The sequence below is a fragment of the Homo sapiens genome, chromosome 4, assembly GCF_000001405.40.
Source record: "Homo sapiens chromosome 4, GRCh38.p14 Primary Assembly".
In the NCBI taxonomy this organism is placed as follows: domain Eukaryota; kingdom Metazoa; phylum Chordata; class Mammalia; order Primates; family Hominidae; genus Homo; species Homo sapiens.
Window position 1 is genome coordinate 112,055,019 of NC_000004.12, and position 14,117 is coordinate 112,069,135.

General features: G+C 37.8%; 1 long non-coding RNA gene and 1 pseudogene across 4 annotated transcripts in view, besides 1 other annotated feature; one reads left to right on the forward strand and one right to left on the reverse strand.

Annotated features, from left to right (window-relative positions):
• The window catches only part of LINC02945 (long intergenic non-protein coding RNA 2945), a 308,805-nt gene that overhangs the window by 251,553 nt on the left and 43,135 nt on the right, over nucleotides 1–14,117 (reverse strand). The gene's annotated exons all lie outside the window — the stretch shown is intronic.
• Nucleotides 5,904–6,117: a silencer, noted in NCBI's record as "fragment chr4:112982078-112982291 (GRCh37/hg19 assembly coordinates)". NCBI's record gives its function as "represses an EF-1alpha promoter that drives an FKBP-Casp9 reporter gene in an ReSE screen in K562 erythroleukemia cells {active_cell/tissue: K562}" and the evidence as "EXISTENCE:reporter gene assay evidence [ECO:0000049][PMID:32094911]".
• CCDC34P1 (coiled-coil domain containing 34 pseudogene 1) lies at nucleotides 12,988–13,510 on the forward strand (annotated as a pseudogene).

Sequence of the window (14,117 nt, forward strand, 5' to 3'; positions counted from 1 at the left end):
TTTTAATGGGGGAGGAAGAAAACACAATTTTTTTTGCATATTTAAGAATTCCGTTTAAACCTTGTTTGATTTTTTAGACTGGCACAAAAAGCTTCCAGTTAAAAATAGACAAATTTAGAAAAATCAGTTAAGGACCTAATTACCACACCAAATTGAGTAGTCAATTTCCACCTTCTTGAACTAAGCAGCAATTCTTGCTACCTTCAGGCCATTAACACCACTAAACCAATTCCACTGCATTTTCTCAAGCTTTGGCTTCAGGGCAGCTCCTAATTGGCTGATGGCATTAGAGAGCATTGGGTGCTACAGGGCTACAGTTCCTTCTAAAGGAAGGTATCAGTTCTTCATTCTTTATTTCTTGTGCTTTTGTCAAGGCTTTTTTTGTTTTGTTTTGTTTTGGTTTGGTTTAAGCTTTTCACCCACTCATACTTAATAATAAGTTTTTGCTATTTAGGACCAGCAAAAACTAAGGAGCAATTATTCTCCATTTTTCTTTGTTTTAAAGTGTCACTTTAGTGAATATTAGCCATTTGAAAAAAGTGTAGATAAATATTTAAGTTTGCTAGTACAAAGTTACTCATAAAAAAAATAGAAAGGAGTCCTAGCAGCTTCTGAAAACACAGAATGCAACCTGGAAGAGATGGCCAAGTCCCACAAAATCAATTTTTTTCTTAATGGGAAACATTTCAAAGTATGAGTGATATGTAACTTATCTAAGTGTTTTGAATCTTTGAATCTTAATCATTTGAATTTTTATGAAGTAGAGTCCTTAAAGGAAAGCATACCATACTTAACTCCTAAAAGACCTCTTTCTGATTAAACTATAGTATCAATTATAGCTCTTTATATCAACTATTATGACATTGCCATCTTGAAATTCTGTATTACTGAAAAAAATTTTCAGAATTCATTTCTTTCTTTTTTTTTTTTTTTTTTTGAGACAGGGTCATGCTCTGTCACCCAGGCTAGAGTGCACTGGCATGATCTCAGCTCACTGCAAACTCCGCCTCCTGGGTTCAAGTGATTCTACCGCCCCAGTCTCCCAAGTAGCTGGGACTACAGGTGTACACCACCACACCTGGCTAATGTTTGTATTTTTGGTAGAGATGGAGTTTCACCATGTTGGCCATGCCGGTCTCGAACTCCTGACCTCCACTGATCTGCCCGCCTCAGCCTTCCAAAGTGCTAGGATTACAGGCGTGAGCCACCACGCCTGGCCCAGAATTCATTTCTTAATTTTCAAATTAAATAGTCAATGGAAGGAAAAACATAACCCCCTTCTTTGGGATCACTTTCAGTTTAGTGACTATTTATTAATATTTATAGCCATAGGGAAGAAAAAACATTTGCAGCCTATCATTATTTCTTTGTTACTATAATAAGGACTGCTGAATCCTTAATATATGTTGTGCACAAATAAACCCAGATAGAAAACAGGAGACCAAAGTCAGTTGTCCCATCAACAGCTGAAGCACAACCCTGACAAAGAGCATTGGCTCAGGAAGATAGAGAGAGCATGAGATGGACAACACTCAAATGCAGTTGAGTATGACAGACACTGAGAATTTGAGGCACTGTGTATTTGAAGATGAATAAGTTGCTATCCTTGTCTTCAAAAACTCCATAATTGGCCTGGTGTGGTGGCTCATGCCTGTAATCCCAGTACTTTAGGAGACAGAGCAGGGAGGAATGCTTGAGGCCAGGAATTCAAGACCAGCCTGGGCAACATAGTGAGATCCCATCTCTAAAATAAAAAATAAAAAAATTAGCCAGGCGTGATGGCAAGTGCCTGTAGCTATAGCTACTCAGGAGGCTGAGGTGGGAGGATCGCTGGAGTCCAGAGGTTTGAGGCTGCAGTGAGCTATGATCGTGCCACTGCACTCCAGCCTGGGTAACAGAGTGAGATCCTGGCTCAAAAAAATAACTTCATAATCTAGTTGGGAAATAGATATTTACATAAATAATTACAATGGCTACTATAATTGCCCATCTCATCACACCACAAGGAGGCAGGTCCAAGATGCAGTGGCTATAAGACTCTCACTGCACATCTACTACACTCAAACAAAAACTGCTTAGAATTGTTTGCTAAGCACTTCTGTCCGAATACAATGGGTACAACAAAGAAGTCTGAGATCCTTATAAGGTCCAAATACTCAAGTTGCTATCTCTCCACCTTAGGCAAGAAAACCAACATATGCTGAACACTGGTGAACAGGGAGTATTAACCTCTCTTAACACTGACTCTAAGTCATAAATACTCAAAAAGTTGAGAATCTGTTTAAACAGCAATAGTCTAAGAAGGCAGTTTGGAAGAGAAGCGGTTTAGCTTCTATCTTCACTACTCTACTGAAGATGCATTTTTTTCAGGGTCTAGAATGAGTTTTTTATTGAATGTTCAAACCTTTCTCTGGAGTTACATGATTCTCCACCTCTTGCTATGCCATTCTTTCTCCATCTCCCCCTTTCCTACCCCATCACACCAAGCCAGATGCCAAACCCTACAGCTACCACTGCACTGTCTCTCACATCTACCACTTATTTTCCATCTGCTTATCTGTATCAGTCACAGTTCCAAAAAACAGATGCACACCTAAACGATTAACTCCTAAGAGGTGGATGAAAAAATTATCTACAGAGGTGTAAGGAATAATGAAACATGCAGGAAGTCATAACCACAGGAAGCAGTTACCACCTAGAGGCCTGAAGGAGCAAGATTAGGCAGTTGTGTTACTGAAACGCAAAGAGAGCTGTATCCCAGGGCGAGGGCCCACCTCATTGGTGCTGTGACTGCAAGAAGAAGGAAGGCAGCCACTGCCAAAACCAAGGCCCAGAAGTGTAGGTGATAGGCCATGAGGAATAAATACTCCAGCCTCTTTCTTCTCCTACCCTTCATTCTTCTGGTTTTGTTTCCATTGACCAAGTCCAGCTGAAAGCCAGAGACAATGGAGCTCAAGTGATGTGGCCCACAGAATTCAAAAGGGCAAAGAACAGACCTTTAGGGGCAAACAGAGAAACACCAGCACATCATACTCAGAAAGCACAAAGCCTCAGGATTCCTTGCCTAGATTATTACAATTTCCTTATGGTTCTCTTTTCTCTGTAGTCAATCCTCCAGCCCATGCATTGGTTCAATAAATATTGTTTAAATTTTTTAGTTAAAAACACACATAAGAAAGGCATTCTCTGACCACCTCCCCATCACTCTCTATCTCTACCTATTGCATTATTCTCTTATTTATATCTCTCTAAAATTATTTTGTTTTGTGTTCATTTGTTTGTCATCTATTTCTCCAAAATAAAATTAAGCTCCCTGAGAGCTGTGAATTGTGCTTCTGCGCTTGGTATATATAGATCAGGCATTCAGTTATGAATGAATAAATTAATTAATGACAGAGTGAATGAATGTATGTAAATGATCACATATGCTGGACAATGTGACAGGAGCGTAATGAATCAGCCACAGAACCTGAACATAAGGAAGTAAAAACTAATTCATCATTTTAATGGCCAGCATACAAACCTCTTTTATCTTCAAGGTAGTTCCCCAAGATACGTATTATTGGCTAGATGTAGAGTCCTCACCGTTTATTATAAGAGCAAAAGGAAATAAATCACTGGTTTCTCTGCCCTGTGGCAGCCTGGACATGGACCTATGACTTGTTCCCAGCCAGTCAAATGCTTCTGCTTTAATCCCTGAAGGAGGAACAAACAGAAACATATTCTAATCATATGACATCTTGTCTCAAGAATCTATCAGTGATTCCTACTTAGGCATTTCCTGTTAACTACAAATTTCTTGGGCTGGTATTCCAGATTTTTCAGATCTTTCTTGTCTAGTGTTAGAGTAATTAAGTAAGAGGTGGAGTTAGAGTTCAGTGTCAGGCATGTCCAACAAAAAACCCAGGTTCTGCCCATATACTCTACTGTCTTTTCAACAAATGTTACCTGTGGCATCTAAAGAGTAAATCAGTCAAAAGGGAATTAGTCAGTTGGGCAGATGTGTTTTTATTTTACCCTACGATCCAGGGAACTAATATTATAGCCAAACATATAGTTTAGATACATCTTTTAAATTTTCTTATTGTGCTTTTAAAATTGGAATTTTCTGTTTCATTATTATTAATGTGCCTTAGCAATGTTTAACCCAGGAAGTTTCTTTTCATCTCCTATAATAAAAGCAAGCAACTAGAAAAATGAGCAACTTGAAGAAGTAGTGGACTTGTCTGCCTTGTTCCATGAAACTGATTTTGTTATTTTATAAGTCTTTAAATCACAAAGTAATAAACATTATATATAAAGGTGTAAATGTTTTAATTGAACTGTTTTATTAGAAATTCATCACTAATTTATTAAACGAGAAGTAAAGGATGCCTAGAAACAACATTTTAAAAGGTCTTTATAGAATGGCAGTAATCATTTCTAATACAAGATCACAGAATTTACAGTTCAGTTCAACCAGATGAATATAAAAATATGCATTTCTATTGGCTAGTCAATCTTTAAGGGTACATCCGATCTGAGACATCGTTCTTGCTTATGGAGAAGAGCAATGAACCTACAGAGGACAACAATACAGGTAAGAAAGGTTATATTTAAATGGCTCAAGTCTTTCATTACTGATGGCATAAATGAAATAATAATGACAATTCACCATGCATAGGTCTTAGTGTTATATTAGCCTTTGGTTAAGAGTCTGATTCTAGATCAATATTGGCCATTCAAAAAGTAATAATTTAGTAGGTGATTTGAGAGATAATATTTTTTCATAAAATATTTTCTATTAGTAGAGAGTGATTATATAGTATAGTAGTAAAATAGATTATGAATAGAAAGGCAGATAATAGAAGATAGATAAAACTTCAAAAAAAATTAAGTTTTCTGATATGATATTGAACGTAACACTAATTTTTCTGGATATAGTTTTCAGTATATAGAAACTGATGAAACCTGAGAAATATTTCAATTTACAATTTCTGCAATTTATCTCAAGACAACAGGAAACCACTGAATGGTCACCCAGTGTAAGGTAAGTTTAAGTCATGTCATTACTTATTAAGGTTGCAGAAAACACATGTCAGCAGCATTTAATATACCTACTCCAGTAATTACCAGTATTGGTTTGCAACACTCCAGGATTTTTTTATTTCAGGGTGTCATAAAATTGCCAAAACAAAATTAACATACCTAACTTTAAAAAATACATCTTAAGAATCTATAAAAGAACTCAGGGAATACAGCCAAGTGAGTAATAAAATACTACAACCCCAAAATTGCAGGAACTGAACAATCTTTACTTATTATAGCTAAGAAAATTGAGGGCTAAATGTCAGGGAAATTACTGCTGGAATCAATAAAAAGATTATTTGCCTGATGCTATAGCTCCATCCAGTGGCAGCTAATGATGACCTAGACTAGCAGAACTCTAGCCAAAGAAGAGAGCAAATAATAGAACTCAATGGAGAAGGGGCTTTCTTGAAGGATCAGGCCCCAATCACACTAGGACTGCCTTGTACCAACATGCATTATCATTATCTCAGAGTATCAAAGACTCTCAAAGCTGGAAGACCATTTAGAATAAGGAAACCAAATCATTCAAGACACCATAGTTATGTCTACAATGTGTGAGAAATCCAGTGTAAAGTGATCCACCGTTCAGATATTCCACACTACATAAATAAGAACCCCAAGACTGACTTTTCCATTGTATATTCTTGGGTAACATGTATCTCTGAAATTAGAATCTGAGTATTTTGGCTTCATTGTGTTTTCTCTAACTGATGTCCATGACATTTCTTGTGAAATATTACTCTTATCAGGATATAAGGTCGATGAAGAAGAATCTTTACCTGATTCCACAGTTGTACCCCAGCCTCAAAACTGTGTCTGTCCCATATTATGTTCTCACAGATATTTATTGAATTAATAAAAATTTTGAATATTTTTTAAATGTGATTTTTTTTACTCTATGTTCACAAAAACCTTTGCAATTCTAATAAAAGCAAACCCTTTCTCCCAAAATATGCACATATCTGGGAGGCAGAGCAAGATGCTGAACAGAAGCCTCCAGCAATTGCCCACCACTGTCCCCCACCCTCGCAGGAACATGAAATTGAACAACTATCCACACAAGAAAGTACTTTTATATCACCAAAAATCAGGTGAGTGATCACAGTAACTGGTTTAACATGATATCAAGGAAAGAGGCACTGAAGAGGTAGGAAAGACAATCTTGAATCACTTACAACATCCCTCCACCATCCCTGGCAGCTGTGTAATGCAGAGAGAGAATCTGTGCATTTGGGGGAGGGACAGCACAGTGATCATGGGACTTTGCATTAAAACTCAGCGCAGCCCTGTCACAGTGGAAAGCAACAGGAGCCAGAAATCAGCCAGCACCCACAGAGGGAGCATTTAGACCAGCCCTAGCCAGAGGGGAATTGTCCAGCCCAGTAGTCGGAACCTGAGCTCCAGCTAGCCCCACCACCTTGGAGCTAAAGTGCTCTGAGTTCTAAATAAACTTGAAAGGCAGTTTAGGCCACAAGGACTGCAATTCCTGGGCAAGTCTTGGGGCTGTGCCAGGCTCAGAGACAGTGTACTTGGGAGCATGTGAACTAGTGAGACACTAGCCAAGGGGGCCAAGGGAGTGCTTTTGTCACCCCTCCCCCAACCACAGGTAATGAAGCTCACAGCTCCTGGAGAGAGAGGAGAGAGTTAAGAGAACTTTGTCTTGCAACTTGCATACCAGCTCAGCAACACTTACATGGGGCACCAGGCAAAGCTTTGAGGCCCCCATTCCAGGTCTTAGCTCCTGGAAAACATTTCTAGTCACAGCCTGGCATATTTAAAATGCTGAAGGAAAAAAACATTTACCTTGAACAGTATATCCAGTGAAAATATCTTTCAAACATGAAGGAGAAATAAAGCCTTTCCTAGATAAAGAGAAACTGAGAGATTCCATCAACACCAGACCTGTCCAACAAGAAATGCCAAAGGGAGTTCTTTAATCCAAAAGAAAAGGATATTAATTAGCAATAAGAAATAATCTGAAGGTACAAAACTCATTGGCAATAGTAGGTACACAGACAAACACAGAATATTATAACACTGTAATTGTGGTGTGTAAACTAATCTTATCTTGAGTAGAAAGACTAAAAGATGAACCAATCGAAAATAATAACTATGACAGCTTTTCAAGACATAGACAGCATAATAATATATAAATAGAAATAACAAAATATTAAAAAGCAGGAACATGAAGTTAAATGTAGAGTTTTTATTAGTTTTTTGTTTGCTTGTTTGTTTTTGCAATTAGTGTTGTCACCAGCTTAAAAATAATGAGTCATAAGATATCATTTGCTAGCCTCATGGTAACCTCAAATAAAAAAAAACATACATCAGATACACAAAAAATAAAAATCAAGAAATCAAACATACCACCAGAGAAAATCACCTTTATTGAAAAGGAAAGAAGGAAAGAGGGAGGGAAAGACGGAAGGAGAGAAAGACAGAGGGAGGGAGGGAGGGAGGGAGGGAGGCAGGGAGGCAGGCAGGCAGGCAGGCAGGCAGGCAGGCAGGCAGGCAGGCAGGCAGGGCACACCCAAAATTAGTCAAAGAAATAAATATCAGAGCAGAAATAAATGAAATTGAGGCAAAAAAACAAAAGATCAACGAAACAAATAGTTGGTTTTTTGAAAAAATAAAAAAAAATCAACAAACCTTTAGACAGACCAGGAAAAAAAGAGAGATGACCCAAATAAATAAAATCAGAGATGAAAAAATGAGAAACTACAACTGATACCACAGAAATTCCAAGGATCATTAGTGGCTGCTATGATCATCGATCATAGTATATACTAGTTACTCATAAACTGTAAAACCTAGAAGAAATGGATAAATTCCTGGATACATACAACCTATCAAGACTAAACCATAAAGAAATTCAAAACCTGAATTAGCCACTAATAAGTAATGAGATCAAAGCCATAATAAAGAATATCCCAGCAAAGAAAAGCCTGGGCCTGATGGCTTCACTGCTGAATTTTACCACACATTTAAAGAAGAACTAATACGACTTGTATTCAAATTATTCCAAAAAATAGAGGAGGAAGGAATACTTCCAAACTCATTCTACACAGCCAATATTACCCTGATAGCAAAACCGGACAAAGACACATCAAAAAAAACAAAAAAAAAGCAAACTACAGGCCAATATCCCAGATGAACATTGATGTAAAAATCCTCAACAAAATACTAGCAAACCAAATTCAACAACACATTAAAAAGATCATTCATCATGCCCAAATAGGATTTATCCCAGGGATGTAAGGCTGGTTCAACATACGGAAATTGCCAATAGCCAAGATTTGGAAGCAACCTAAGTATCCACCAACAGACAAATGGATAAAGGAAATGTTGTACATATCCACAATGGGGCACTATTCAGCCATTAAAAAGAATAAGATCCTGTCATTTTCAGCAACATGGATGGAACAGGACATTATGTTAAGTGAAATAAGCCAGGCCCAAAAAGACAAATTTTGCATGGTCTCACTGATTTGTGGGAGCTAAAAATTAAAACAATTGAACTAATGGAGATAGAGAGTAGAATGATGGTTACCAGAGGCTAGGAAGAGTAGTAGGGGTGGGGAAGAAGTGGGGATGGTTAAAGGGTACCAAGGTATAGTTAGAATGAATAAGAGCTAGTATTTGATAGCACAGCAGGGTGACATACAGTCAACAATAATTTATTGTACATTTTAAAACAACTAAAAGAGTATAACTGGAATGCTTGTAACACAAGGAAATGATAAATGCTTGGGGTCATGAATACTCCATTTAACCTGATGTAATTATTATGCATTGTATGCCTCAAAATATCTCATGTACCCCTTAAATATATATACCTACTATGTACTCATAAAAATAAAAAATAAATTTTTAAAATGCACATGTAATTATTCAGTTTCAAGATTTCTTGTATTCTCTGTCACTCATGTTTATAGGCCACAGTTTAACATGTGCTGCTTTAAAAAGAACACTAAGACCACTAAGACCAAGTTCATAATTAGGAAATTGACATAATTAATTGCATGCATTATTTTTGCCTGCATTGCTTCTGCTACTGTCTTAGCTCCTGATCCCCTGATCCAAGAAGATCAGAGCTGGGTTTATTGATAGTGAAAGTAAAATTAGTGGGAAAAAACAGATTAGTTATATTTGAAAGTCACACTTAGCATCAAAAAATATATGAGAAGAGCATAGAAAAAAAGATAAATCTGAGAACATTTAGTCTTGCATTGTCCTCTTCTGTTCTTCACAGCAAGAACATCACAATGTTTATATTGGGATCACAATGATTCCCAAAGTGATCACCGTGATCACAGCCTGAGAAAGATGAGCTGGGCCCAAGGTCCAAGGGGCCTGAAGAAGTCAATCCTGTGATTTTACCCCGCAGAAGAGCCAAGTCAATGCCCAGGCACTTCCCCAAAAGATATTAAGGCTGCTGCCCAAAATGCCCTGTCACCAATGCAGTGTCTGGGCTCCAGGTTCTGAAATCCTTTTGCACCAGTAGTTGAATCACCTCCCTTTTCTGTGCCCTATGTTTTGCAACATTTCCTTACCTTCATCTTTGTTGTAAAACATAAGAACTTTCTAATTATTCCTTCCTAGGGCATTTCTCTGAACAGACCTAATCATAGTCCACGACAACCATCACTTTAATTCAATTGAACCAATTTATTGAGATACTTCAGGTGTCCAAGACTCTCTACTAAACATTTTGAGCATGGAAAAATAAATTAGAAGCATTCCTGCCTTAAACAAGATATACTTCCATCTAATGGGAGAGATGGATGATAAACAAATAATTATAACACAAGAGAGACTGGCATAAGTGCCAAATAGAAGTACAAGTAACAATATGTAGAAAGTGAAGAAAGAAGCTAATAATTCTGGTGGGCTAAGATTCCTAGGAGGAAATATCATTTGAGCAGGGTACCGATAGTGAGGAGGATTTAAACATACAAAGAGTGAGAAAGGGGGAACTAAGATAGCATCCCAGCCAAAAAAAAGAGACAGAGAGAGAGTATATCAAAAACACAGAGGCACAAAATTGCCTGGAATGCTTGAGAAATAGGGAAATAGACCACTATAGCTAGTTTTAGAAGTCAATGCTAGGCTCGGCACGGTGGCTCATGTCTGTAATCCCAGCACTTTGGGAGGCTGGATGGAACAGGACATTAAGTGAAATAAGCCAGGCCCAAAAAGACAAACTTTGCATGGTCTCACTAATTTATGGGAGCTAAAAATTAAAACAATTGAACTAATGGAGATAGAGAGTAGAACGATGGTTACCAGAGGCTGGTAACCTGAGGTCAAGGGTTCAAGACCAGCCTGGCCAACATGGCGAAACCCTGTCTCTACTAAAAATACAAAAATTAGCTGGGCATGGTGGTGAGCATCTGTAGTCCCAGCTACTCAGGAAGCTGAGTCAGGAGAGTCACTTGGACCCAGGAAGCAGAGGTTGCAGTGAGCTGAGTTTGCCCAGTTGCACTCCAGCCTGGGTGACAGAGAAAGACTTTGTCTCAAAAAAAAGAAGTCAATGCTAGAAAAATAATTTGGGCTTTAAATTCCACATCAAGAAACTTGCACTTTCTGATACAAGCTAGAGAGAAAGATAACAAATTATTAAAACAGTAAAGGCACTATTATCTGCCTATATTCTAAACAGAATAGAACTTTCTGGAAAGATAGCAATGTCCTATATTTGCACTGTCCAATATAGTCGCTAATTAGCCACAGGAGTACTTAAAATGTGGCTAGTGTAACTGAGGAACAAAATTTTTTATTGTATTTAATTATAGTTTATTTAAATTTAAATAGTGACATACAGCTAGTAGATTCTCTGCTGTACAGTACACTGGTACAATGTTTTCTTCTGTGACAATGTGAAAGATGGATTGAAGGGGTCAGAAATTATACATGGGGAGGTCTGTAAGAAAGTCATTACAATGGTGCAAATGAGAGACCAAACTACGAAAGAATGTCTAAGAGTGATATTTGGAAAGGAAACCAATAGGACTTGGCAATTGATTAAAAATAGATGATAAGCAAGAAGATTGAATCAAAGATGGTTCCGAGATTCTGGACTTTGTGATATGGAGAACAGTTGTGGCACTATGTATACTTTCCCAAGAAAAGTAGTTAGAAGGGGAAGATCAGTTCAATTTCTGACACATCAATTTTTTTTTTTGAGATGGAGTCTCACTCTGTTGCCCAGGCTGGAGTGCAGTGGTGCAATCTCAGCTTACTGCAACCACCATCTCCCAGGTTCAAGTGATTCTCCTGCCTCAGCATCCCGAGTAGGTGGGACTACAGGCACGCACCACCATGCCCAACTAATTTTTTTTTTTTTTCGGATTTTTAGTAGAGACAGGGTTTTGCCATATTGGCCACGCTGGTCTTGAACTCCTGACTCAGGTGATCTGCTCACCTCAGCCTTCTGAGAAGGAACCTGAGAAGGGCTGAGACCTGGGCCTGCAATCAGCTGGGAAGTGGGTGTTGGGAGGTGGAGTAGCAGATCTCCACTGCCCTGCCACCCACATCTGGCCTGCCCAGCCAATTGGTTATGCTTTTTGCATCATACCTAAAAAACACACCATCTGACTTTGTTCTGAACATTGTACTTTAAGATACATTTAGGCTGTTGTGGAGGTCTAAGTATATATTGGTTGTTACTGTTCTATGGCATTTCCATTTGAAAAAATATGCCACAATTAGTTGAATAATTATTCTGTTATTAATATTTGTGTTGCCTTCTTATGCTCCACTTAGTGTTTCTGATGCTACTACTCACCTCCTTTCATTGCTTCTTATTCTGTGCCTGCCTTAAAATGTGGATGTTGCCCAAGGTTCTGTTGTCAGGTATCTTCTTTTTTCTGTTCTTTCTTTTCCTCTTTTCTGTTTTATCTATCTGATCTCTTCATGTCAGGGGTAAATAACTATCTATTCCTTTGGGTAGGATCCTGGAGACCTGACTCAATCAGATTATATTCCCAGGGAGCTTGGCTTGGGTAGGTTATGAAGTTGAGTTATATATTTGTTTGAAACGGAGTCTCGCTGTGTTGCCCAGGCTGGAGTGTGGTGGTGCAATCTCGGCTCCCTGCAACCTCCACCTCCTGGGTTCAAGCTATTCTGCCTCAGACTGCTGAGTAGCTGGGATTATAGGCACCCGCCACCATGCCCGGCTAAGTTTTGTATTTTTAGTAGACATGGGGTTTCACCATGTTGGCCAGGCTGGTCTGGAACTCCTGACCTCAGGTGACCCACCTGCCTCAGCCTCCCAAAGTGCTGGGATTACAGGCATAAGCCACCACACTCAGCTGAGGTTGAGTCATATTTTTACCAAAGCTTATGGTGTAGAGATTCCTTTCTGTACATCTGAAAAGCATAAAGCTGAGGATAAGCAGGCTGAAATAGAAGCATAATCTATAGATGAATATGACAGCCACATTCATGTAGAAGGCAGAGCAATTTAGGGGAACTAGTGACTGAGAAATGTTATAGCTGATGGATCAGAAACAAGTCTGGGGGGATTTATTGCAGTTGAGACTATGATAGATTTTACTTTGATTCTTATGCCTACTTGCTTGGGTTATTCAAAAATTAAAGAGTATGTTGAAAGGGCTGACAAAATGGACAATGGCCACCTAATCTAGACATGACTTATTCTTTGAGGTCTAAGAGCGATTTTTTAACCATCTTCTAGACATTGTTGCAGAATGACTTTTGTACATCAAATTTGACATGTCAAGTTGGGCGTGATGGCTCATACCTGTAATCCCAGCACTTTGGGAGGCTGAGGCGAGGAGATCACCTGAGGTCAGGAGTTCAAGATCAGCCTGGCCAACATGGTGAAACCCTGTCTCTACTAAAAATACAAAAAAAAAAAAAAATTAGCTGGGCATGGTGGTGCATGCCTGTAGTAAATGAAAGATAAATTATTAAGAAAAACATAAGGAGTGGGTTCAGAAAAAGAAGAAAGAGAAAAGGCCCCCAAAATAATGAAGAAATGAAGGAACTAGAGAAAGAATATTTGCAAGAAAAAGCAAATAAAAACATTAAGAATAGTTGTAAAATGCTAAAGAGTGTGAAAAGGAAAAAGACAAGCAACAGCAAAGTGAATTATAGGGGAAAAATGAAATAGCAAGAAAAAGGTTTAAGGAATGGTTGGAAAATACTAAAAATAAAACTCATCTCACTCCAAAGAGCTATGGTTATGCCAAAGGAAAACATAGAGGTTTTTACAGAGGAAATTCCTATTCAGAACCAGGCTTTTATAATTCAATTCCACGAAAACCAATACATAAACCCCTCCTAAAGAAACTAAGGATCCATCAGGAAAGAAGAATGAAAGATCCATGACAAAGCAGCCAAAAAGGACATCATTTCTGGCAATTAATAAAAGCAGAACAATCTTTACCTTAGAACTCTATGCAGAATACAAAGACAGTATACATAGGAAATAGCGTGCTTTTACCTGGAGCTATTAAATTTTAAAATTAGAAATGGTTTTTTGCTGCTCAATCAGTGCTCAGCATTTGATGTGATTATTGATAAGGTCTGATTTTTGAATTCGTATATGGAGTCCTTAGAGTTAATTGAGGAAGACATTTTATAAATTTTAGTTTTTATAAATATCTCAAGGTTGATCTTGGCATGTTGTTTCACAGGATACATAACTGAATATCTAACAATTGTGTTGTGTTTGTATTTAGCTGGTATTAAAACTACACTGTAATACCAAAAAAAAAAAACAAAAAATAAGCACAAGCAACCAAAGAAAAAAAATGATAAATTGGACTTTGAAAAAGTTAAAAACTTTTGTGCATCAAGAAAGTGAAAAGACAATACACAGAATGGAAGAAAATAGCTGCAAATTATATATCTGATAAAGGTCTAGTGTCCAGAATATACAAAGAACTTTTACAACTCAACAATAAAGACAACTCAATTTTAAAATGGTGAAAGGATTCTAACAGACATTTTTCCAGGGAAGATATACAAATGGCCAATAACCACATGAAAAGAAATACTCAACATTTTTAGTCATTAGG